At 44.6% G+C, this 26,379-nt stretch overlaps 1 protein-coding gene, 1 long non-coding RNA gene and 1 other non-coding gene across 15 annotated transcripts in view, besides 2 other annotated features; 1 reads left to right on the top strand and 2 right to left on the bottom strand.

Annotated features, from left to right (window-relative positions):
- Nucleotides 1-1,024: 1,024 nt before the first annotated feature.
- SKAP1 (src kinase associated phosphoprotein 1) overlaps nt 1,025-26,379 on the bottom strand; it is a 311,620-nt gene continuing 286,265 nt past the window's right edge. For 8 of the 13 annotated variants that reach the window (XM_047436976.1, XM_047436975.1, XM_047436973.1 and 5 more), the window contains one exon: nt 12,042-12,701. In XM_047436976.1, the coding sequence (XP_047292932.1) occupies nt 12,594-12,701 (108 nt within the window). In that variant the 3' untranslated portion in view covers nt 12,042-12,593. Of the gene's footprint in view, nt 1,400-4,811; nt 4,921-12,041; nt 12,702-23,391; nt 23,832-26,379 lie in introns of those variants that run through there. The other 5 variants (XM_005257755.5, NM_001075099.2, NM_003726.4 and 2 more) reach the window with 2 other exon arrangements.
- Nucleotides 11,401-11,470: an enhancer, noted in NCBI's record as "active region_12327". NCBI's record gives its function as "activates an Ori minimal core promoter by ATAC-STARR-seq in GM12878 lymphoblastoid cells {active_cell/tissue: GM12878}" and the evidence as "EXISTENCE:reporter gene assay evidence [ECO:0000049][PMID:35858748]".
- LOC124904018 (uncharacterized) lies at nt 14,224-20,459 on the top strand. The gene is made up of 2 exons (XR_007065827.1): nt 14,224-17,236; nt 18,153-20,459. It is a non-coding gene; the product is annotated as an uncharacterized LOC124904018 (long non-coding RNA).
- Nucleotides 16,773-17,914: an enhancer, noted in NCBI's record as "VISTA enhancer hs697". NCBI's record gives its function as "enhancer in: eye[3/9]" and the evidence as "EXISTENCE:transgenic organism evidence [ECO:0001131][PMID:17130149]".
- On the bottom strand, nt 24,010-24,094 carry MIR1203 (microRNA 1203). Its single transcript, NR_031607.1, has one exon. It is a non-coding gene; the product is annotated as a microRNA 1203 (primary transcript).

Genomic DNA, 26,379 nt, shown 5'->3' on the forward strand with positions numbered 1-26,379 from the left:
TACAGACAACAGGAAAGGGAAACAGGGAGCCCTGTATCCATACTTGAGCCCTCCTCAGAGCATTTCCTCAGCCCCTACCTGGGAGGTGTTGTAGTGGAGGACACATGGGTTGTTAACTAACCCGAGGCCTGAAGAGGAACTCTTCAATGTGCTGACTCCAAGGCCTTGCTTCTGGTTCTGTCTCATTTTGGAGATTCAGCACATAGGAAAAAAACCAAGTAGCTGGGTGGGAGTGGTGGCTCATGTCTGTAATCCCAGCACTTTCGGAGGCTGAGGCGGGTGGATCACTTGAGCTAAGGAGTTTGAGAGTAGCCGGGCCAACATGGTGAAACCCCGTCTCTATAAAAATACAAAAATTGGCTGGGTGCAGTGGCTCAGCCACCCTGTAATCCCAGCACTTTGGGAGGCCGTGGTGGGTGGATCACTTGAGGTCAGGAGTTCAAGACCAGCCTGACCAACATGGTGAAACCCCGTCTCTACTAAAAATACAAAAATTAGCTGGGTGTGGTGATGCACGCCTGTAATCCCAGCTACTCGGGCGGCTGAGGCAGGAGAATAACTTGAACCGGGGACGGGGAGGTTGCAGTGAGCCAAGATTGCGCCACTGCACTCCAGCCTGGGAAACAGAGTCGAGACTCCATCTCAAAAACAAACAAACAAACAAAAAACCAAAAATCAGCCAGGTGTAGTGGTGGGCGCCTGTAATCCCAGTTACTCGGGAGTCTTAAGCAGAATTGTTTGAACTCAGGAGGTGGAGGTTGCAGTGAGCCAAGATTATGCCACTGCACTCCAGCCTGGGCAACAGAGCAAGACTCTGTCTCAGAAAAAAAAAAAAAGACAAAAAATAAACAATAGACGTGGATTCCAGAGAAGATTCTGCTCTGAAAGACAATTCCAAGTCTCCTTTTTTCTCTGGGCTTTTGTTTTCTCTCATGCTATCTCCACTTTATTGGGAGGTGGTAAAAATGCCCAGAGCTGACATATTGATATCATCTTACAAAAAGGAGCTCAACATCATCACACATGGCAAGGAACCACATCCCAAGTTTATTTGTGCTTTTCAAACCAGCCAGAACAACCAGTAATGTCCTCCTCCCAAGGTTTCCTTCTCTCTCACCTTCTTTGTGAAAAGCTTGTGGAAAAGGCAGATGTGGTTGTGTGGACACATTTAGAGATGGGGATGAGCTATGACTAGGCTGGTTTAGTAACAGGTTTGATGAACGTGCCTCTTCCCACTTGTCTTACTGGTAGCTTACAGTCACTCTGAGGTGTCAAGAGACTTGGGTCTCTTCAGCAAAGAGAGGAGTCCAAGGCGTTGGTGGGGTGGCAGAAGTAGGGAGTGGGAACTTTTGATGATCAGTTTCCTCATAAAGGCAGGAGAGAGGGAAGAATATATTTCCTAAAGGAGGAAAAATACATAAATTTGCTTTTGTGATTCAAAATATAGATGTATTAAAGGGCACAGAGTATAATGTTTTCCCCCTTACCCTGTCTCACAGTTTCTCTGTCCTTGGAGGCAACCATGTTATCATTTCATGTCTCCCTCCAGAAATATCCCATACAAATATAAACAAATAGGTATATATAGTCTCCAGTCCTTTTTTATACAAATGGGGCAAATTTGGCTCCCATTCTTTGCTGTTTTATTTTTTTTAAACTTACCAACATATTTCAGAATGTATTCCACACAGTTTCCCTTTCTTTTTTACTGTTGCATAATATTCACTTCTATGAATGTACTATAGTTATTTGACTAGTTCTCTGTTAAACATTTAGGTCATTTCCAAGTGTTTGCTATTACAATGAACCGTATGTGCCTGTCATTTTGCATATGTGCAAGTATAGCTGTAGGATAATTTCTATTTTTTTTTCTTTTTTTACCCAAACCAAAAATGGTCAATAGGATAAATTCTTTTTTTTAGATGGAGTCTTGCTCTGTTGCCCAGGCTGGAGTACAGTGGCTTGATCTCAGCTCACTGCAACCTCCGCCTCGTGGATTCAAGCAATTCTCCTGCCTCAGCCTCCTGAGTAGCCGGGTTACAGGCGCCCGCCACCACGCCTGGCTAATTTTTGTATTTTTAGTAGAGATGAGGTTCCACCATGTTGGTCAGGCTGGTCTCGAACTCCTGACCTCGTTATCTGCTCCCCTTGGCCTCCCAAAGTGCTGGGATTACAGGCGTGAGCCACTGCGCCTGGCCAGATAAATTCTTAGAAATAGATTTGTTGGGCCAAAGACAATGAAGAGATAAACAAATAAATGACAGAGTGAAAAGGGTGAATTTGTTTTTTATTTTTATTTATTTTTTTTGAGATGGAGTCTCTGTCACCCAGGCTAGAGTACAATGGCGCGATCTCGGCTCACTGCAACCTCCGCCTCCCAGGTTCAAGTGATTCTCCTGCCTCAGCTTCCCAAGTAGCTGGGATTACAGGTGCCCGCCACCATGCCTGGCTAATTTTTGTATTTTTAGTAGAGATGGGGTTTCACCATGTTGGTGAGGCCGGTCCCGAACTCCTGACCTCAAGTGATCCACCTGCCTTGGCCTTGAAAGTGCTGGGACTACAGGTGTAAGCCACCATGCCCGGCTGGCTGGATTTGTTTAGATTTGACAGAAAAATTCCAACCCTCTATACTTGTGGCCATGAAACAGTCTTCATCAGGAAAATCATAAAGTCAAACCTTGAGTGACAGGCCTGAGCTGGTGTTGTATGGTTGTACAAGGGCATTGGAGAATAAGATCTATCCTTATGTATTTTCCTAAATGAGTTCACTCAGCTGCTGCAGCACACTAGAGTGGGCTCTGGTCTGGACTCCAAGGAATGTTTGTATCACTGTCACACTGATGCCATTCTTTACCCCCAGCAGTGAAGACTGCTCCTATTTCAGGCCAGAAGATGGAGCTAGTGACAACATGCTGGTCTTGGGGGCCCTCCATCAGAATCTTAATTCTAACCAAAACCCACTCTGCACCAAAGTGGCTCCCACTATTACTCCACCCAAACCAGGCACCCACCCCCACTATTTTGAAACACAATGTGGTTCTTGCTAATACAACACAAACCTATTCTTTTTCTTTTTTTGAGACAGGATCTTGCTCTTTCACCCAGGCTGGCGTGCAGTGGTGCAGTCATGGCTCACTGTAATCTCAACCTCCTGGGCTCAAGCATTCCTCCCACCTTAGCCTCCCAAGTAGCTGGGCCTACAGACGTGCACCACCACACGTGGCTAATTTTTTAAAAAAAATTTTGTAGAGACCTTCTGCCCAGGCTGGTCTCAAACTCCTGATCTCAAGTGATCCTCCTGCCTTGGCCTCCTGAAGTGTTGGGATTACAGGTGTGAGCCACTGTGCCTGGCCCTGCAAACCATATTCTCTATTACTTAAAAGTTAATTTGATTATGTTCCATAGTTCCAATATTTCATATGTTCCAATATAAGGAATCCTCATATTGGATTCCTAATCTTGGTCAGTCATATTGCAATATGTGGGGATTTTGGGGAAATGGTGCCCTGGGTTTGAGAGCTGGGGATAAACCTAGATCCATCCCTGTGGCAAAAATTGCTAGTTTTATCCCAATATCCATTCTTCCCTTTGTATTTAATCATGAATCTCCCAATTCTAAGCTGGACACAGGGCTATAAGCTTTCTTTACAGCTTGCTGTGTCCATATATTCCAACTTCTGACCAATGGAATGTGAAAGGAAGTGTGTGCGCAACATCTGTGAAGTACCCTTAAAGGAAGAGGGTATGCTTTTCTCTCTCTTTTTTTTTTTTCTCAAGACAGTCTTGCTCTGTTGCCCAGGCTGGAGTGCAATGGCGTGATCTTGGCTCACTGCAACCTATGCCTCCCGGGTTCAAGCGATTCTCCTGCCTCAGCCTCCTGAGTAGCTAGGATTATAGGTGCACACCACCATGCCTGGCTAATTTTTTGTATTTTTAATAGAGATGGGATTTCACCATGTTGGCCAGGCTGGTCTTGAACTCCTGACCTCATGATCCGCCCGCCTCGGACTCCCAAAGTGCTGGGATTACAGGCGTGAGCCCCTGCGCCCGGCCTGACCTTCTCCTTTTATCTTTCCTGCTGTGCTGTGTAGGTTGCAGACAGGATGGCTGGAGATTGAGCATCTGTCTTGGCCTTGAGGTAACCTTGAGAATGTTGGGCACACAGAGAAGAACAAAAAGAAAAGGTACCTGGGACTGGATACCTTGGACCACTTACCTCTAGATTTTTGCAGAAGAGAAAAATACATTTCTGTGTTAATTTTTTTTTTTTTTTTTGAGACGGAGTCTCACTCTGTTGCCCAGGCTGGAGTCCAGTGGTGTGATCTCGGCTCACTGCAACCTCCGCTTCCCGGGTTCAAGCGATTCTCCCCAGTAGCTGGGATTACAGGCGCCCACCACCACACCTGACTAATTTTTTTTTTTTGTATATTTAGTAGAGATGAGGTTTCACTATGTTGGTAAAGCTGGTCTCGAACTCCTGACCTCAGGTGATCTGCCCACCTCGGCCTCCTAAAGTGCTGGGATTACAGGTGTGAGCCACTGTGCCTGGCTTTCTGTGTTAATTAAGTCATTTTTAGTTTAGATTTTATGTTGCTATTAGTTGAACCTTATCCTAAGTGACACTGTCCCCAAATTTAAGAAAAAAACAATTCCAGAGGCATTTTCTTTCCATCAGTGGTGAATCACTAGCATTAGTATGAGAAATGAAGAAAAGCTACTTCACTGGCAACTCTCATCTTTCAGAGAAACAAAGTAGTGGCCCACAAGTTCCACTCAACTATTAGGCAGTTCATTGGCCATGGTTCTGATACCTGGGTTTCATCTTTCTTCCACTTCAAAGGCAGTGGTGAGATACTCCTTTGGAACAATCCCAACGAGGCTGTTCAGTTCTCCCACCCACCAGCCATACATGTTATACTCCTGAAAAGTGAAAAGAGGATAGCGTCAGTTAGAATTTGTTCATGCTTCTGCTCATTTATTCTAGTGATTGCATGGGAGATTCTGTTTGGTGGTTTCATTGTTGCCATTATCACTGTGAACTGTTAACTTCCCTGATGGGATTATTAAATTTAAAAAAATCATCTAGAGGAAGAGAGCAAGCACTTTCCTTTTGCCATCTTCCTGTCTACATTGTAAAATTAGCACATTTGATGCCCTTGCTGAACCTGAAGAGCATTTTTTTTTAAACCAAGCCGAATGGTATGGCTTCTTAGAGAAAGTTGGGCACACATTAAATTGCCAGAACACTACAGATATTCAAGGGGTCAAGTCATAGTTCAAATCAATAATATTTATCAAGCATCTTCTATGTGCAAAGTGCTGTTTGAGTTCCCATGAGGTATGTAATGATGAATCAGAAGATTGCTTGCTCCTTGGGAGCTTACAGCAGAGTAATGGGCTTTGGAGTCAGACAGACTGAGATCTAATCCTCGCTTGGTCATTTAGTAGTCACATGACCTTAGGTTCTCCTAGCTTTAGCTTCTTTGTGAGAGTAGGGATAATATCTCCCTTCTATCTTGTGGGGATGTAAATTGTATCACTGAAGTAAAAACAACTGAAAGTGTTTGATACATAGTAGATGCTCTAAACATTAGATTCTTTCCCTAGAACAGGTGAGAGGTGACAGGTACATTAATAATGACAGGCTAGTCACAGAGAGGAACAAACAAGAAAGAGGATGAGAGGGTTTTAAAGAGAGTTTAAGGGGTAGTCACAGAGTGAGGATGCAGCTCCTTGAATACAGAAAAGCTTCTCAAAAGCACAGCAGATGTTGAAGAGTATGGGGCTATTTCTTTTTTTTTTTTTGAGACGGAGTCTCGCACTGTCGCCCAGGCTGGAGTGCAGTGGCAAGATCTCAGCTCACTGCAACCTCCGGCTCCCACGTTCAAGCAATTCTCCTGTCTCAACCTCCTGAGTAGCTGGGATTACAGGTGCGTGCCATCACACCCGGCTATTTTTTTTTTTTTTTTTTAGACAGAGTCTGGCTCTGTCTCCCAGGCTGGAGTGCAGTGGCGCAATCTCGGCTCACTGCAACCTCCACCTCCCAGGTTCAAGCGATTCTCCTGCCTCAGCCTCCCGATTAGCTGGGATTACAGGCGCGCACCACCACGCCCGGCTAATTTTTCTATTTTTAGTAGAGATGGGGTTTCACCATGTTGGCCTTGATGGTCTTGAACTTCTGACCCCAGATGATCCACCCGCCTCAGCCTCCCAAAGTGCTGGGATTACAAGCGTGAGCCACTGCGCCTGGCCACAACTGGCTAATTTTTTATATTGTTGGTAGAGATGGGGTTTCATCATGTTGGCCAGGCTGGTCTCAAACTCCTGACCTCAAGTGATCCACCAGCCTCGGCCTTGCTAAGTGCTGGGATTACAGGCGTGAGCCACTGTGCCCACTCTGAGTATGGGGCTATTTCTGATAGCACCAGAAAATGTTTTCTTTCTTTTGAAAGAAGTAAAATTAGAATGAAAAAAAAATTTTTTTTTTTTGAGACAGAGTCTCACTCTGTTGCCCAGGCTGGAATGCAGTGGCACAATCTTGGGTCACTGCAACCTCCACCACCTGGGTTCAAATGATTTTCCTGCCTCAGCCTCCTGAGTAGCTGGGACTACAGGCTTGCGCCCAGCTAATTTTTGTATTTTTAGTAAAGACGGTGTTTCACCCTGTTGGCCAGGGTGGTCTCGAATTCCCGACTTCGTGATCTGCTCACCTCGGCCTCTCAGAGTGCTGGGATTACAGGTGTGAGCCACTGTGCCTGGCCAAAATAAATTTTTTTTTTTTTGAGATGGAGTCTCGCTCTTTTGCCCGGTCTGGAGTGCAGTGGTGAGATCTCAGCTCACTGCAACTTCTGCCTCCTGGGTTCAAGCGATTCTTCTGCTTCAGCCTCCTGAGTAGCTGGGACTACAGGTGTGCACCACCACGCCCAGCTAATTTTTTGTATTTTTAGTAGAGACGGGGTTTCACCATGTTGGCCAGGCTGGTCTTGAGCTCCTGACCTCGTCATCCACCCGCCGCAGCCTCCCAAAGTACTGGGATTACAGGTATGAGCCACCGTGCCTGGCCCCGAATGAAATTTTAAGTATGGGAAATATCACATATTCCAGTTCAATTGGATTTGGGGTACCAAAGAGCTAACTGCTTCTTTGTACACTTGGTTGCTGAGTACTATTAGGAAAAACAAAACAAAAGAAGTAAAACCAGATTGGTGATATGTAAAATTCAGAGTCCCTAGCATTATCTGGTGATCTTTTTATCTCTGGATGCATATAATTATCATAGAATTATGATATCTAATATCTCCCCTCCTCAAACTCATGTTGCTTCTGACAACCTCTTCTCCACCTTCAAAGGGAAAAGAGAAGCCATCAGATTTGTCAGCCACCAGCCACCAAAGCAGGAACTTACCTGTATTGACAACCATCTTTCTTTCCCATTAAAGTCGGGGAAGCACCCCTCCCCTGGTTTAAGACTACCCCTCACAACACGCACTTGCAACCCTCCTCCTTCCTTTCCGAGAGATGAGGTTCTGTGGAGACTGACCATTGCCTGTAAAGTAAATGGCTCCTTCCACCAGCACTGAAAGGTGTTCAAGTTTCTCTCATTTTTTAAAACAACCATTAAATAGCTGCCACTGATGTCTACTTCCCATTTCTTCTAGTCTATGCCACACTTGTTGGGAAAGTTTACTCACTCACTGCTCCAACTTCCTTCCTGTTCACTGTTGAAGCCGCTCTCATCAGGCTTGGTTGCCGTCCTCTACTTAGGCTCTCTCTCCATGGTCTCCTGTAACCTCTGCATTGCTCAAATTCCCTGAGCACTTCTCAGTCCTTAACTTACTTGATCTCTCAGCAGTGCTGGCACTATTGGTCCTCCTTGAGGCCTTTTATTCTCTTAGTTTCTATGATAATTATACTCTCCTGGTTTCTCTCCTTCTACTTCTACTTCTTCTCATTCTCCTTTGCAGGCTCATCTTGCTCAATTCTGCTTTTTAATGTGGTTGTTTTCCAGGGTTCTGTCCTGGCCTTCTCTTCTGTCTTGATGCGCTTTACTAGAGCAATCCCATATATCTCTGTAGAGTATCCACCATGTCTGTGTTTATCACTCATGACCACAGCTCCACCCCAGGTCTGTACTGGACCCCAATAGCCAAGTGCATTCCACCAAGCTGTTCAAACTCAGTATGTCCTAAATTTAACATGTAATCCTGCCTTCACCTCCATCCTGACTCCAAAGCTATCTTTGCTTCCTTGGTTCTCTATCTCAGTGAGTTGTACTACAATGCACTGTTACCCAGGCTGGAATCTCAGGAGTCATTCCCAATTTCACTTTCACCTTCTTCTTCTTTCTTCTTCTTCTTCTTCTTTTTTTTTTTTTTTTAAGATGGAGTCTTGCTCTCTGTTACCCAGGCTGCAGTGCAGTGGTGTGATCTCATGATCTCGGCTGACCACGACCTATACCTCCCAGGTTCAAGCAATTCTCCTGCCTCAGCCTCCCGAGTAGCTAGGACTACAGGCACGTGCCACCATGGCCAGCTAATTTTTGTATTTTTAGTAGAGACGAGGTTTCACCATATTGGCCAGGCTAGTCTCGAACTCCTGACCTCAGGTGAGCCACCCGCCTCGGCCTCCCAAAGTACTGGGATTACAGGTGTGAGCCACTTCGCCCAGCCCCATCCCCCTCTTCTAATCAATCCTTGAGTCCTGTCGATTCTCCCTCTAAAATATTACTAAAATCCTCCATCTTCTTTCCGTTCCCAGTTGCCAATGCCTTAGGGTCATGTAGCTATCGTCTCACGTGAGAACTACAGAAACAGTCTCCAAGTTAATCTCTGTATCAGCATTCTTCTTCTCCACTCTATTCATTGTGCAGCCAGACTCGCTCCCTACAGTACACATTGATAATGTCACTGCTCTGCTTGGAAACTTTCGGTGGGTTCCCAATGCCCCTTGTTAACTGGTTTTTGTTTTTGTTTTTGTTTTTTTTGAGCCATAGCCCCTGTTGCCCAGTCTGGAGTGCACTGACACGATCTCAGCTCACTGCAACCTCTGCCTCCTGGGTTCAAATGATTCTCCTGGGTTCAATCTGAGTAGCTGGGATTACAGGTGCCTGCCACCACACCTCGCTGATTTTTGTATTTTTAGTAGAGATGGGGTTTCACCATATTGGCCAGTCTGGTCTTGAACTCCTGACCTCAGGTGATCTGCCTGCCTCGGTCTCCCAAAGTACTGGGAATACAGGCATGAGCCACTGTGCCTGGCCACCCCTTAACTTCTTAACAAAGTAGACAAGGCCCTGCATGACCCAGTCCCACTCACTGTTCAGCATTGTTACTCACCTCCTAGATTTAGTGTTCCTTAGTAAAATAGAACTTGTCTCAGCTGCTCCCATGGGCCACAGGCTCCCTCACCTTGGAACCTTTCCTCTGCCTGTTTAGCCTCTACTTCCCTTCTCATTTCATGGGGCTTACTCCTAAGCAGCCTTCAGATCTCAGTTCCTGAGTTACTCACTCCCTAGAAGCCTCTCCTTGACACTCTCTGACTGTGTGGGGTCCCGGTTACACGGTCCACAGTGCTGTGCCCTGTGCTTTCCTGGAAAAGAGCTTGTGATTACACTGCCTTCTATCTGCCTGTCTTTGTCTCAGTGTCAATCACTAGTTGGAAAGTTCTGAGGACTGGACCTTGTTGGTTTTGTTTGCTTTTGTGTTCTCAGCATTCAGCACTATATCCAGCACAGAGTGGGGCCAAATAAATACTTGTTAAATGAGGCCGGGCGCGGTGGCTCACACCTGTAATCCAGCACTTTGGGAGGCCGAGGTGGGTGGATCACCTGAGGTCAGGAGTTCGACACCAGCCTGACCAACATGGTGAAACCCTGTCTCTATTAAAAATACAAAAATTAGCTGGGCGTGGTTGAGGATGCCTGTAATCCCAGCTACTCGGGAAGCTGAGGCAGGAGAATTGCTTGAACCCGGGAGGCGGAGGTTGCGGTGAGCCAAGATCATGCCATTGCACTCCAGCCTGGGCAACAAGAGCGAAACTCCATCTCAAATAAAAACAAAACAAAACAAAACAAACAAAAAAACTTGTTAAATGAGATTATGATGAAATGAAGGGGGCAGTGGGAATTTGTATTCTTAGTTGAGCAGATTTAGTTACAACTAACTCCAAGATATTCCCCTGGTGATTGAACTAGTTGTGGCAGAAAGAGATCAACTACCTTTGGAGACAGTCTCCTCAAATGGCTCCTTATACAACAATAAGAGTCTGAAATGCCACAAGAAGTGAGACTACTGAGTTGATCCTTTTAGGACCAGGGAAGTGCCTTGTGAAAATCAGCCTTAAATAACTAAATGTGTCTGTCTGCCACCTCTTCCTACACCACACCTTCTTTTCTTGTTTTGTTTTTTGAGACAGGGTTTCGCTCTGTTGCCCAGGATGGAGTGCAGTGGTGCAAGTATAGCTCACTGCAACCACTCCTGGGCTTAAGTGATCCTCCCGCTTCAGCCTCCTAAGTAACTAGGACTACAGGTGCATTTCACCATGCCTGGCTAGTTAAAAAAAAAACTTTTTTTTTTTTTTTTGTAGAGATGGGGTCTCCCTATGTTGCCCAGGCTGGTCCTGAACTCCTGGGTTCAAGCAATCCTCCTGCTTGTTGGGATTATTGGAGTGAGCCACTGTGCCTGACCCACCACACCTCATTTCCTCCCTCTCCCAGGCCAGCTTCTCCCTACAGTTCGCAACGTCTTATGGGAAATTACCTATAATTCTTTAGCTTTTTTTTTTTTTTTTTTTTGGGAGACAGGATTTCACTCCCTTCACCTAGGCTGAAGTGCAGTGGCATGATCTCGGCTCACTGCAACCTCTGCCTCCTGGGCTCGAGATTCTCCTGCCTCAGCCTCCAGAGTAGCTGGGACCACAGGTGCATGCCACTGCCTAATTATTTTTTATTTGCTAATTATTTTGTATTTTTTTTTTGTAGAGATAAGAGTTTTGCAATGTTGCCTAGGCTAGCCTTGAACTCCTGAGCTCAAGTGATCCCCCAGCTTCAGGCTCCCAAAGTGCTGGGATTATACCCTGCCCAGCCTGTCAGGGCATTTTTAAGCTCCTCTTGGTACAAGATATGTTACTGTCCATTTTCCGACACTGAAATTAGGGCAGTTTCTGACTTAAGTTTTCTTGTAGTGTTGCCTTGCTGTGAAGGGGAAATACATACTCTGTCTACCTCTCACATTGTAACTCGTAAAAACTAGCTTTAGCTCTTCTGCTATCTCACAGGCAGAGAGTGGGCAGTGTTGTCTGAGAGTCTTTTGATCCAAGTCAACTTGCTGAAATGTGTGAAATGTGGTCTTCCACCTGCCAGATGCTGTCATCTGCATCACCTGCAGGGGACAGTAAGGCATTTGCTCCCCGGGGGTTGTTCAACGCTCCTAACTTTGACTAACACTTTGTAGCACCCCTCTTTAGTCGTAATGCCAGGAGTAGGGATGAAGCCTTGGGAAGGTGCTCTCTGCCAACTCGAAGAGGGTGCGAACAGGAAGCAGATGAGTCTCAGCAGGGTACCTGCAAAAGCCAGGCTCCCAGTCTGTCTGCTCTTGCTCCAGGGGAACACTGACCCTGCCGACTGCAGATGTAGAAGCCTCGCCACAGTGATGAGAACTGAAATGAGTGAAATCAACTCTCTGCCCTTCAAAACAAAAGAGCAGGCAGAAGTGTAAGGAGGATGGCACAGTCCCAGAGACCATATGCATCCTGCTGTGGGAGCCTGGGAGCTTAATCAAAGCACCTACAGGTCCCGGGATCTGACTGTCTTTTCCAGATTTCATCCCTTGGCTGTATACCCGAAAAGGGCTGCAGGGCTGAGATGTTTAAAGCATGAATGGAAAATTTCTAACCTTCTCTCCCACTACCACCCCCATGCGTTGCTCCAGCCCAGTCTGAACACCACGAGGTATTTTAAAATAATTTCTACTTTGATGAATTGCTGGGGAGTCCACAATTGCTCATAATCAAAGGGAGAAAAATGCAAATGAGATCCGGCCGAGAACTATCACCACCAAACGTTTATTTCACTGCACAGTGCCAAAAAGAATTAAAACAACATTAAACTCACAGCAATCATGTTTAAGCCCTCGTTTCCAAGTGCCAAATTGCACCACTCTGGATCATACAGATGTTCGTTAATTATGCTAATTTTTATTAAACTATTAAAATGGAGAGAGTACTGGCTCAGTCAGGCAGACCCCAGCTCTGAATGAACCCTGCTCCTGTCTAAAGGTGCTAATTTACTGCATTTTTATTAAGTTGCTGATTCTTGAGTTTTAGTTTTAGGATGGCAAAGAGAACTGAATTTCTGGGATCAATGTTTTCTATAAAGTCTGATTTCTCTTTGCCCAGATGTTTGGAAAGATTGGAAAAATGCTGAGAGGCTCCCAGGAGACCTGAAATCCTCAATTTGGAAGTGTTTCTGTCTTCAAGGTAGGGATGCACATCTACAAGTGACTGTGTTAGGGCTTCAGAATTATACATGCTCACTATTCCATAACTCTACATATATTCTCAATGGTAGGGCTAAGATTTAAATTATACAAAATTGTTCAATGAAGATGTTTTAGATAAGAATATAAAAAGTTATTAAAAAAAAACCCACAAACCTTTCCATCAGGGCTTGCTTCTTGCCACAAAGTCTTTTTAGAAACTTTCATCTAAAATAAGCACAGTGTATGGTTTGTTCTCCTCATAAATATTTCTAGGTTTGACTAAACATCTGCTTCTCTCAATACCAACCTTGCCCCACCTCCTTGAACAACCCACATGAAGAAGTCTTAAAAATAAAAGTTGGCTATTTGCACTCCATTATATGGCTGTAGAAACTATTGGTCTGGATGAATGAAGCATTGAGTGAACCTGAAATAGACGCAGCGCTCACCATCAGCAACAATCAAAGTGTTTATGGCAGATTTCACACTGCCATAAAAGGATTTATGCTAATCTCCATCAACAAGGAAAAAAAAAAACCCTACCAAACCTGCCATAAAAAGAACAGCAAATTCTATAAACAAAAAGCAGTATGGCCACCAACAATGGGCATGTTGCACAGCTTGACTCTGCCTCCAGTGGTTTCCTATTGCTGTTTATGGTTTCAGGACTATCATGGACCTCCTCAGAGCTCCTCCTGTCACAGGGCCCTGAGTCCCTGTGTGGTGCTGCAAATACCCTGTCAGTAGGTGTCAGGGGATATTGGGGGAAAACCAGCAGGCGCCTATCATAAGGCTTAAAAGAGATTAAATACCCCTACTCCATGATTGCTACATTTTAATTTCTCTCCTCCCTGCTGGTTCCTATTTGTATAAGCTCTTCCATGGCTCCCCTGGAGTAGCACAGACATGACCTGGAATGACCATCCTGTCTTGGGATGAGAATTCAATTTCTAGGCTCAGTGAATCCTAGGCTGTTCCAACAAAAGGAACTCACCATCCTCCAGGGCACAGATTCTTAAACCAGAGTCTGTGAACCCCTGGCCTCTCTGTGGATGGATGTGAAGGAATCTTTGAACTCCCTGAAACTGGTGTAAAATTTTGTGTGCATGTGTACGTAGGCCTCGTCTCTGGGGTGAGGCCCAGAACTTTCATCAGATTCTCAAAGGGTTTATGAACCCTTTGCAGTTTACCAGCCGGCACTCTATGGGAAAAAAATACAATGGTCTTTATGGGCTGGATCTGTACTTTGGCCCAGGGTGGGTATCCTCGCGCTCCCCACACACAGGCCCCTGCTTTTAAAAAATACAATGAAGGAGAGGCCGGAGACGGTGGCTCACGCCTGTAATCCCAGCACTTTGGGAGGCTAAGGCGGGTGGATCACAAGGTCAGGAGTTCGAGACCAGCCTGGCCAATATGGTGAAACTCAATCTCTACTAAAAATACAAAAAAATTAGCTGGGCATGGTGGCGCACACCTGTAATCCCGGCTACTCGGGAGGCTAAGGCAGGATAATCGCTTGAACCTAGGAGGCAGAGGTTGCAGTGAGCCGAGATTGCACCACTGCACTCCAGCCTGGGCAACAGAGCGAGACTCCATTTAAAAAAAAAAAAAACAATGAAGGGGAATCAAGAATCCTAACTGCTTCCATGCTGGATTTCATGGGCTTCAGCCCTCCAGCTGAAGAGGCTGTTCCTCCTCAAAGGTCGACTGCTCTTGTGTACCTCTTTTAAGGAATCATCTCTTTTTTTTTTGAGATGGAGTTTTGCTCTTTGTCACCCAGGCTGGAGTGCAATGGCACGATCTCGGCTCACTGCAACCTCTGCCTCCCGGGTTCAAGCGATTCTCCTGCCTCAGCTTCCTGAGTAGTTGAGATTACAGGCACCCGCCACCACGCCCAGCTAATTTTTGTATTTTAGTAGAGACGGGGTTTCACCATGTTGGCCAGGCTGGTCTCGAACTCCTGACCTCAAGAGATCCTGCCCACCTCCACCTCCCAAAGTGCTGGGATTACAGGCGTGAGCCACTGCGCCTGGCCAAGGCATCATCTGTTTAACTGTGACTTCAGAGTTGTGGTGTCTTCTCACAGTTTCCATTCAAATGGCTTGGAGCAAGCTGCTTGACACTGTCAGTTCCCTGGATAAAGCTCCTAACAGAAACATTCTCTTTTCACATTGAATTGGGTTCCAAGTCTCCGTGGAACAAGATTCCCAGAAAATATCTCATACTTTTTTGTTCTTTTTACCATAAAAGTTCCCTATATCAGTGCTTATAAACAAGAGGATGCATCTTCAAGAGAACAGTCTATCAGCCCCTAACCCGAAAGATTAGTAAATGCTTGATATATGTATGGAAAGGTCAATCAATCACAGAAATATTGGTTTATGATTGCTTATTTCTCTTATTAGTGTTTGTGCATCATACATTGCTATTAGTTAAGATGGGAAATTTGAATTCCTAAGCAGAGTAACTTGTACTATTCCAGGGTCAGTCCCAGACATCGTATTTTTACTCTGGATTTCCCCACAAATTCTCTACTCCTAAAATCCAGCTTTGGATATATAATGCTTTCTTAGAATATCATACCCTATGAAATAAATTAAGGGCTCCAAATCAGCATCCTTCTAACTGCCGAGAAAAACAAGGCTGGGAACAAGAATTGTTCACCAAAGACAAAGTGCCCATTTTTCAGCACAGATAGTTTTATGAAGAGATTTTCCAGAAGGAGAAAGGAAATGGTCAGTTGGGTGGCCGGTGGGTTAGTGATGTTGGAACTTGTGAAAGGATCGAAGCTCAGCACTTGGCTGAAACCTTGGGTAGCGTGGCAGCCTCTCCAGGCTGTTTTACAATCTGTTTTAAGTTCTTGGCAATCACTTTCTCTTTTTCCATTATTCAGAGTTTTGGTCTATAAATCATAATAAAAATGAATCATTAAATTTGCCTCAATTGAGCTAGTTTTATTTACTGTTACATTTCAGGGAACTTGCTAATCTGGAGATTGATGGGCCTGGATACAGGGGAAAGTATGCAAGTGTGAGAAGGGGGACATGGGAAGGCTGGGTAGTCAGCAACAGCAGTTGGGAGGGGGGTGGGTCATGGTGACAACTCCACAAAGCGCACCCTGAGCTAAGTGTTCTGAGAAGAGGAATGTGTTCTCTAGATGGAGGGTCTCAGAGCACTTGAGTGCGAGAGAACATTCAGCCTTAAAGGTGAAGCTTATGTCCTGAACAGGGTGGGAGTGGATAATGATCAAGCTGAGGCCACGGAGGTGTGGAGGGCCTGTGCACACACTGCATGTTGTGGGTGAAATGTGTGCAAAACACAGAGTGGGTGTGTGCAAGTGTATGTGACAGAACAATCAAGCTGTGAAGGTAAGAGCAAAGGTGAAATAGGGCTGTAAAGAAAGAGAAATGAAAAGAAGCACACAACTTTACCTAAAGAAGAAAGAAGGGATAGAGGGAAGGTAAACACTTTGCAGATGGGAGAAAACAAGGTGCCAAGTGCAGAAGTCAGGAACAATAAAGACAGCACCATTTCGGAGCTGATAGAATTGTGATACCATGTGAGACGGGCGTATTAATATGTATTCCATAAACTGCGCAGCTCTGCACCGCTCTGTTTTGCTCTGACCGCAGTACCAGCCTCAGGCACCACAACACAATTTGGAAACAATGTGACGGAAATGTTTAATCTGCTCGGCCCATCTGTGCTGCGTATTTCTCCAGATCTCCCTGAGAGAGGCGCCTTGAATCTCCACATTGCCTTTAATATTCTCCTAAATCACCTCCCTACTGCACTTCAAGGGCCATTGCTACAATATCACAGGTTCATCTAAAGTGCAATGGGGAGGGGGTGTTGGGGGAGGCGCAGGCCGGGAGATTTTTTATTTTAAAATAATTTCCAGAGATCGTCTTTTCTGCTTCCTTTAAAAAAAAAGAAGAAAAGTTATTCTACTGTTGCCTTAAGGTTATTGAGGTTGTTTGGTGCAAAACAGGGTAGGATAGAGTGGAATCATTCTCCAAAGAATTATTTTTATTAATCTCGATTCTCTCAAATGGACATGGGAGGGTGAGCAGATGCTCGTTCTCTCTTATCTCTTTTCCTTGCACCTTGCTAGAAAGCACACATAGGGTATGCTAGGGTGATGTGTTCATTTGGGGTTGGAGCCTCTCTCCTTTCCACTCTTGGCATCAGGTACCAGCTTGTTAGTTCCCAGGGCCAACCCTGTCTCTGCTCCACTCTAAACAAAGCCATCTCATTCAGGACAAGTATACATTTAGTCTCTGGTCAACATGCCCTCATTAGGAGAGGACTCTGTCTATATTTTTAATTTTAGCTTAAAACCTTAGATTTTCTCTCCTTAAGTAGAGATGTTGGGTGTCAGATTTCCACTGCCTTTCCCCACTTGATTGCGCCAGATTCAGCAATTTGGGTCTAGCTGGGGTGGGTTTTGGAGAAAGAGGGATGACAAGTCACCATGTTCCAGACCCTAGACAAATGGAAGAGAGTTGCACATCACCAAGAAAATTAGGATTCCTTTTGCTTTGTGAATTAAAGAAATGAATAATTTAATCCTCAAGATTGTTCCGGCGAGGGAAAAGCAACGTCCCAGTTGCGGAGCCCTACAGCCTGTCGGTGTGTTACATCATCTGCACACATAGGCGTTTCCATGACAACCGCTTATAGCTTCATTTCCTGGATCCCTCTAGGGGGTGTCACAGCCAGATCCACCTGCTTTTCACCCTACCCTCGGTGGGGTCATGGTAAGGTCGCCAGAATAAATGAACGCGGGTACTAATGATCTGTTTACTGCTGTTTATGCTCTGTGTGTGTCAGGGGCACGCACATTTAGAGAGCTCATTATGGTTGCAATTAGAATGCACCATCGCTAGATATTTAACTCCTTTTTCTTTTAAATTAGCATTTTAATAACATTCTTTGAGCAGAGAAACAAAATGACCATTTTTCACGGACAAACTTCTAGCTGTAGGTGCAACTTTAATGGCAAAGTTGTGAAGGGGAAAGAAGGGGAAAAAAGGCCATTTTTACTACTTTCACCCTCCTCCTTACCAAAAGGATATTTTTATTTGCTTTCTAACACACTCAATTTCCTAAATTTGTTTTGAATCCAATTATTTTGGGTGGTTTAAAGTACTGCACTCTTGTTGGACGGAAATTAGCAGCGATTGAAATTAACTTTTTATGTGACCTGTGAAAGGGGCTAAAATAATTACAAGTGTGTAGAAGAAACTCTCCAAAAGACCCTTGCTGTAGGATCAGGCTGTGATCCGATGATGCCATTATCCAAATATCTTTATACAGCAAATACAAGGGCTTTTTTCTTTAAAAAGGTGATTGCAATTATTGTTTCTGTTTTGTAATTCTGAGGATTATCTTGTAGAGGATAAGTGATGACAAAAACTTGTCATTATAGACAGGATAAATAAGCAGAAAGAATGAAAATAATAACACAGCATTGTTTACCATTTAAAAATGGTGAGCATCAAAAAGCAGGAGAGGAGGAACAGGAAAGGTGTAGAGACCCCCTTGGTTACAATGTTTCAAAAGGCATTGCTTTGTAGGGATCAGCCAACACCCTTTCTAGGTGTTTATAGATGCTCTGTTTGTGTAAAGTACAGTGAAAAATAACAATTTGAATGTTTCGATTATCTTTCCCAGTCCGTTCCATTTTCATTATTTATTTCCTATAAATCGGGACCTTGCTGAACATAATTCTGCAGACAAGGAGGTGGATGGGACAGCCAATGTGAACAAGGAGATAGATGGTGGGTGCGTATAAGATAGATGCTATGCGCTTATGAAAAAGAGCAGTATGTCTGCATGTGAACATCCACAAAGTAGAGCGAGCAAGCGTGTACACGACAACGGGTATTTATAGGTGGAAAAAGGTGCAAGGAAGATTATGTGGGAACAGGCACAGAGAGTCTGAAACGGTTTGCTCTTTTCCCTACCCTCCTGGAATCCACGTCCAAGTTCTGCCTAAGATGTCCCACACTTGCTGTGGCTCCTGTGAACCTCGCAAGCCTTTCCATGACAACAGACGGGGATTTCACAGCCAGAAGACTTAGGAGGTCAACAGTTGAAAAGCAAGATTTAGAGAGATCTTTAAACAATCACACTAACCTCCCTCCCCTTCCAAAGACAGAAGGAGGAAAACATTTAAAGACGCAGCAGGAAAAAAAAAAAAAAAAAGAGCCTTTCTAAAAATGCAAGTTTAAAATGTTCATGCTTTTGTATCAGCCTAGTTGCACCTTAGAATCTGCCATTTCATAAATAAAATACCGATGGCATAGAGTATAATTTGGTGACAGCTACCCCAGGACATATCTAGATGCACTTCTGTTATTTTAATTAAATACTGCATTATGGTTTGTGACAACTACATAGCTATAGCGTAAATGAATTCAGAATTAAAGTGTTACTTAGGCATCCAGTAATTTTTGTTTCATTCCTTAGTTTTACAAAGCAAATAGCTATAAAATCAAGATGTTTGTTCATTTACAGATGGAGCAGGATTGTCGTCGCTGTTTTTTTCCTCCTTAATCCTCATCCACAAAAAGAAGACACAGTTCAGAGTCTGGCTCCCAACACTCTTAGCTTATGAGCCACATCACAAAGAAAAACACATCCTCTTGACTATAATGTGAAATGCTGAATATTAATTGCTGGTATTATGCCTATCTTTCTAGCTGGGTTCTGTCTTTTAACAATTATTCGGATGGGCTACAGCCTTGCACTGCCAGGAGATTCTTCTCCTTTGTTTAATAGTTAGAAACCAATTTTATTAAAAAACGGTAAAGTTCACAATGCTCCATGTAAGTTCTTAGTATTTGGAACTCTCCCCAAATACAGAATATTATCAGGAACAGAGAAACTGCAGACTCTCTTTGCTAAATATGATGAACATTTCTGCATTTAAAAGAAAAAAATATTTTTCATTTTAGCAATATTAATGTTTCCTTAATGAAACTGGAGAGGGTGTTACAATTTGATATACTTGGTTAGTTTCATTGTCACTTCACTAGCAAATCATGAGAAAGGTTCAGAATATTCTCATCTATCAGGTACAGATTTTCACTCAAAATTAATATGTAGAGTAAAAGGATTTTTGTTCAAATCTGAGGATTTAACTGTATCTTTAACGTTTCATATGTCAAGATGAAAGTTTTTAAATAACTAGTTTTCTGAAACCATTTCTATTATTTCTAATTTGAGAATCAATATGATCTTTTTATTAGCCTTAAATACCATACATCTGGGAATGTCTGCAAATTTAAGCTTTTCTGTGTTCTAATCAATTACCTTCAGTCTTGCATAACTAATCCTATAATCTCCATAGAAGTTACTGCCCTGTATGTTAGCAATGAGGTTATACTTTGTTTCAATATTTTGCTAGTTTGGTTGGAGAGCTGAATCACGCAATACCAAGAAATGGTGGCAGAAGAGGTTTGGGGAGGCTGAGTTTCTTTTGAGAAAATAATTATACTGAAACAAAGCTTTTGTGACTCCTTTTAAATAGGGCATCTCACCAAAATGTCATCCAGCCTCTTTGGCAGATTAGTGGGGAGTTTATTACTAAATCTCTGTCTAATAAATGTGCAGTTGACTCTGGAGGAGCTGCTTGTTATAATACTGGCGGTGGGAAATGGAGGGAATGTCACAGTTAAAGACACAAATTTTCCCCATAATATATTCAAATGGAAACCTCTGAATCCAATACTACATGGGCATATCTAATAAATTCACAATATTTCAGTTTCCGCAGCCTTCACCGGTTAGTTTTAAAGATTTATGTGGTAAAAAATTACTCAGTGATGAATATGGTTTATTCTGTGCAGTATTGGAGGTATAAGGAATTAAACTACCATCTTTAACAGTGAATTTATTATTACCTCTGTCAAAAGACGAAGACGTTAACAGCATTTGTTATAAATTCACTGCAAAATAAATGGCTGGAATTTTTTACACTGGAGTTTGTAAAGCATCGGGCAATTCTGAGCATTAACCTAACCCGGCCGTGGCTTATATGGTTCTAGGTAAACGTTTCTGTCTGGGCTTCGTAGTTAATTATCTGGTCTGGAATTTTCCCCAACTGAAAACTGTGTGCACATGGACACACACACACACACACACACACATACATACACAGAGAGAGAGAAAAGTGAAAGGTCTTGTCCAGGACAACTGTTTAGGAATAAATAGATTAGACTATTTATAGATAGATAGAATAAAATAAAATGCCAATTTTATTCTCTTTTTAAAAAATGGGTTTTAGAATAAATGGTCAGGGTTTGCAGGATGGGTTGATGAGCAACTGGGCCTCTTGTTAGCAGGTTTACATGCATGCATATGCACACACACATAAACACCCTCTCCCTTTTGTCCTCTCTTGGAATGGGTGTCCCCTCATTTATAAAAATTACCTGGAAGGAATGAGGCTGCCAGGGTTTGTTCTAGACGATTGGTTCCTGTCTGGGGGAAAGGAATGGCCTCTACTGAATTTGACCGGTATATGACCGTTGCCTTCCAGCTGACCCCAAATCCCATTCCCATCCTCCTAACTCCGTTGCCTCCCATAGGGGTTATTAATGAGAGAAAACACCATCATCATCATCTTCGTCATCACAGCACAGTGTTGACCTGCTTGTTAACATGAAATGGGGTGGTGGGGACAGCTTCTGCTTCTCTTGCATACCATCATAAATAAGAAAAGATACTTTGCCATAGGATCCCCTCACCCACCCCTTTGATTAGGTCAGAGGTGCATAATAGCTCTTTGACAGGCATTGATCAGTTTCATCACACTGTTTGGGCAGCCTGTGCCCCAGGCCTATATTCTCCCCACTTACTACCCCTAAATTACCTCCCAGATAACCCCCCACCCATCCCCCACTCAGCCAACCAGAGGGTATGGTGCCTGAGGAAGTCCTAAATGGACACTAGATGTCACCAAACACCTCCTTTCCCTCAGAGCCCTGAAATTAAAAAAAAAAAAAAAAAGAAAAAAAAATCCTTCATTTAAGGCAATTGAAGGAATTAACTTATCTGTTTTTATGAGGGTTGTTGTCACATTCAACTAAGCACACTTAAAAGAGGAAGTATTGCTGCATTAAGATAATTTTTACAACATACAAATCTCTTTTGGAAAGAACGGGGTCAAGGGAGGGGAAAGGTCTCCATTCTTTTAAGTAGCCCATTGAGGAAGTAGGTGGAGAAAACCGGGTTAAAACTCCCATTATAATTGACATAGTGTTGTGTTAACATAGTCCAGGTGTGCTGGCGCAGGCCTGCCGCATTCAGATGACTAGACTGGCTGTGGAGCCAGGATCTCATCTGAGTTTAAGTAGCTGCAGTCCAGGGTGACAAAGTCCATTCTTCTCCACATAAGACCCATGACCATCTGACAGCATCACGTGTTCCACGCTAAACTTGACTTTGTCTGTATGGCTCCCTGTTTCCACATCAATTCCATCAGCAAGGAAGATGACCCAGACCCTGGTGTGTCTGGGCCATGAGAATACCTTCCCACCCCAGCTAAGCCACCGTGTAAGTATAAATCTTATGCGTACCCAACTTGTTGCTCCAAGGCTGCTTTCCATGGAAATAAGGCACTGGACAATTCCTTGGAAGAGCCTCAGACCAATTTATGAGGCACACAACCCAAGCCCAAGAGATGTACACTGGCTCAGTTTACCTTAAATGGAAGATCTCACCCAGTGGCCTCTTCTCCTTCCTAGTCAATTGAAAAAGAGCTTCTCTTTCCCTCTTTAATTTGTCCTTATCTTCTGAACAGCTCATGTTACCACCATAAATAACTTATGGAACAGGATGCTTTTAAAAAAAATGGGCGTTTAAGTCTTATCTTGGCTGGGCGTGGTGGCTCACACCTGTAATCCCAGCACTTTGGGAGGCCAAGGCAGGCAGATCACTCGAGGCCAGGAGTTCAAGACCAGCCTGGCCAACATGGTGAAACCCCATCTCTACTAAAAATACAAAAAATTAGCCAGGTGTGGTGGCTTGAGCCTGTAATCCCAGCTACTAGGGAGGTTGAGGCAGGAGAACCGCTCGAACTCAGGAGGCAGAGGTTGCAGTGAGCCAAGATTGTGCCACTGTACTCCAGTCTCGCAGTCTGGGTGACAGAGCAAGACTCTGTCTCAAAAAAAAAAAAAAGTTATCTTGAATAGTGGAACAAGCATGATGATGATGATGATGATGATGATTTTTATTTTTTCTTGAGATGGAGTCTCGCTCTGTCATCCAGACTGGAGTGCAATGGCATGATCTTGGCTCACTGCAACCACTGCCTCCCGGGTTCAAGCGAGTCTCCTGCCTCAGCTTCCCTAGTAGCTGGGACTACAGGCACGCGCCACCATGCCTGGCTAATTTTTGTATTTTTAGTAGAGATGGGGTTTTGCCATGTTGGCCAGGCTGGTCTCGAACTCCTGACCTCAGGCAATCCACCTGCCTCGGCCTCCCAAAGTGCTGGGTGAGCCACCACGCCCTGCCAACAAGCATTATTATTATTTGGAAAGAATGTTCCCTAGTGAGAGACACTGGAGCCAAGAAGACAGGGTCACTTTTCTGAAAGCTAGGACTTGTGACTTGTCTTATCCAAATAGAGGCTTCTTACCTCTTTTTCTCCCACTTATAACAAGTGACCATAGGCCAAGCACAGTGGCTCACACCTGTAATTCCAGCACTTTGGAAGGCCGAGGCAGATGGATCACCTGAGGCCAGGAGTTCGAGACCAGCCTGGCCAATATGGCAAAATCCCGTCTCTACTAAAAATACAAAAATTAGCTGGGTGCCGTGGCACTTGCCTGTAGTCCCAGTTACTCAGGAGGCTGAGGCAGGAGAATCGCTTGAACCCGGGAGGCAGAGGTTGCAGTGAGCCGAGACCGCGCCGCTGCATTCCAGGGCAACAGAGAGAGACTCCGTCTCAAGAAAAACAGAAACAAAAACAAGTGACCACAGTGGTGCTGGTCCACAAAAGGGTCTTGCAATCTGCAGATAAAAGGAACTAAGCCAGGGCACCACACTATCACACGGAGGGTGATTCGGCACCTGCCCTGTCATGCCTGGTGCCCAGGCCGAATGGATTTTTGGAGTACACCTGTTGTTGAACCCCTGCCAAGTACTGATGGCCACTAACCCCCAAATCACTTTTCCCCACTGTTGATGTTTGGAATGTCAGACAGGACTGAGCAGCAGCCGGCGTGTATTTCAAACACAGCAGATGGATTTTTATATTAGCTCCTATTTCATGTTCAGGCAGAGCGACCGCCACGCTAAAACCACAGCCTCAATGCTGCCGAGTTTGCTTCTGTGAGATTAATTCTGTGAAATTAATTGGGACAAGATTGAAAAGGAAATTAAAATGCAGCTGAGTGAACAGGCCTTTCAAACACCTTTTCCCTGCTCTATTCAAACTTGAATTCTGCGGTGGTCGCCGGCATCGTGGGAAGTAATTTACGAGTCGCAGGCTCTCAGGAGCCATTGGTTACGTATGAGGAGACCTGCACCAGCGCCACAATCTGGAGCCACTGAAGAGCGCTAAACACCCTGCTGTGGCTTGAGCTGCATCCTGGCTCCGGGGAGGAAGGGAAGTTTAGTCCCTCACCAGAAAAAGCTGTTCAGAAATATCTGAGTCCAAAAGGAACACAGGAACATCCGCTGGATGCACAGATCTGCTTCGTTATTAAAATCTCCCTTTAATATATTTTGAGACCCAAATTGGAACTCAGTGAATTAAGTGGGCATGACACTGCATGGGGCCAAGGAATGCATGGATGTGATGCAGGGAGGTCAGTGGGAGTCCTCCTGCTGACTGTGCCACTGGTTACTGTTTCAGAGTTTGGATGTGTGGCTCTGGTCTCTCCACAAAATGAAGTTTGAATAATCTGTCAGGGACGAAAGCTCTCAGACCAGGAAAGGCATGGTGGATTTTCATGTAGGCCTCTTCACTGGGTATTTTTTTTTGTATCCAAGTGAGCGACTTTTGTGCTGTAGATCATCTCTTTTTCAATAATTTATTGAACTCCTAGTATGTGCCCAACACTGATCCAAAAGTTTATTATTAGTAAAAGGGAAGGAAATATTCCTACTTCCTACATGCCAGGCACTTCCTTACACAAATTCTCTAATGTAAACATCACAACAAATGTATAAATATAAAATTTCCCAATTTTTACAGGTGAGGAAACTGAAGATTATCAGGATTAGGAGATTTTTGCCCAGGGTCATAAATAACCCGTCTGTTACAGGCACTTACTTGCTTCCCTGAGAACAGGACAGGTGATGGGCACTTGGTTATCTCTGGGGAGCATCTTTTTTTTTTTTTTTGAGACGGAGTCTCGCTCTGTTGCCCAAGCTGGAGCGCAGTGGCGTAATCTCGGCTCACTGCAACCTCTGCCTTCCAGGGTCAAGAGATTCTCCTGCCTCAGCCTCCTGAGTAGCTGGGATTACAGGTACCTGCCACCACACCCAGCTAATTTTTGTATTTTAGTAGAGACGGGGTTTCACCATGTTGGCCAGGCTGGTCTTGAACTCCTGACCTCAGGTGATCTGCCCGCCTCGGCCTCCCAAAGTGCTGGGGTTACAGGTGTAAGCCACCGTGCCCGGCCTCTTTTTTTTTTTGAGACAGGGTCTCACTCTGTTGCCCAGGCTGGAGTGCAGTGGCACTATCTCAGCTCACTGCAACCTCCGTCTCCCGGTTCAAGCAATTCTCCTGCCTCAGCCTCCCAAGTAGCTGGGACTACAGGCATGCACCAGCATGCCCAGCTAGCTTTTGTATTTTTAGTGGAGACTGGGTTTCACCATGTTGGCCAGGCTGGTCTCGAACTCCTGACCTCGGGTGATCTGCCAGCCTCGGCCTCCCAAAGTGTTGGGATTACAGGCATGAGCCACCACACCTAGCCACTGGGGAGCATCTTTCTTGCCCAGTCAATCATCTTCTCTGGATAATTTTTTTTTTTGAAAAGGGATAGCCGGACATGGTGGCTCACACCTGTAATCCCAACACTTTAGGAGGCCGAGGTGGGTGGATCACCTGAGGTCAGGAGTTCGAGAACAGCCTGACCAACATGGCAAAACCTTGACTCTAATAAAAATACAAAATTAGCTGGGCATGGGGGTGCAAGCCTGTAATCTCAGCTACTTGGGAGGCTGAGGCAGGAGAATTGCTTGAACCCGGGAGGTGGAGGTTGCAGTGAGCCAAGATCATGCTATCGCACTCCAGCCTGGGCAACGAGAGCAAAACTCTGTCTCAAAAAAAAAAAAAAAAAAAAATGCGATAAATAGCTCTCTTTCTGTGATCATTCTTGCCCAAAGGCAAGACTAAAAGATTCTCCTCTGGGCCGGTTGCGCTGGCTCACGCCTGTAATCCTAACACTTTGGGAGGCCGAGGCGGGCGGATCACGAGGTCAGGAGATCCAGACCATTCTGGCTAACACAGTGAAACCCCGTCTCTATTAAAAATACAAAAAGAAAAAAAAAAAAAGAAAAGAAATTAGCCAGGCATGGTGGCGGGTGCCTGTAGTCCCAGCTACTCGGGAGGCTGAGGCAGGAGAATGGCGTGAACCCAGGAGGCGGAGCTTGCAGTGAGCCGAGATTGTGCCACTGCACTCCAGCCTGGGCCACAGAGCGAGACTCTGTCTCAAAAAAAAAAAAAAAAAGAAAAAAGAAAAAAAAAGATTCTCCTGAGTTTGGTCCTAGGCTTCTAAGATTCAAAGTTGGATCATGCTTGGGTGACTATTAAGAAACAGCAGAGGCCGGGCGCAGTGGCTCACGCCTGTAATCCCAGCATTTTGGGAGGCCGAGGCGGGCGGATCACGAGGTCAGGAGATTGAGACCATCCTGGCTAACACGGTGAAACCGCGTCTCTACT

The sequence above is a fragment of the Homo sapiens genome, chromosome 17 (genome assembly GCF_000001405.40).
Source record: "Homo sapiens chromosome 17, GRCh38.p14 Primary Assembly".
Taxonomy (NCBI): domain Eukaryota; kingdom Metazoa; phylum Chordata; class Mammalia; order Primates; family Hominidae; genus Homo; species Homo sapiens.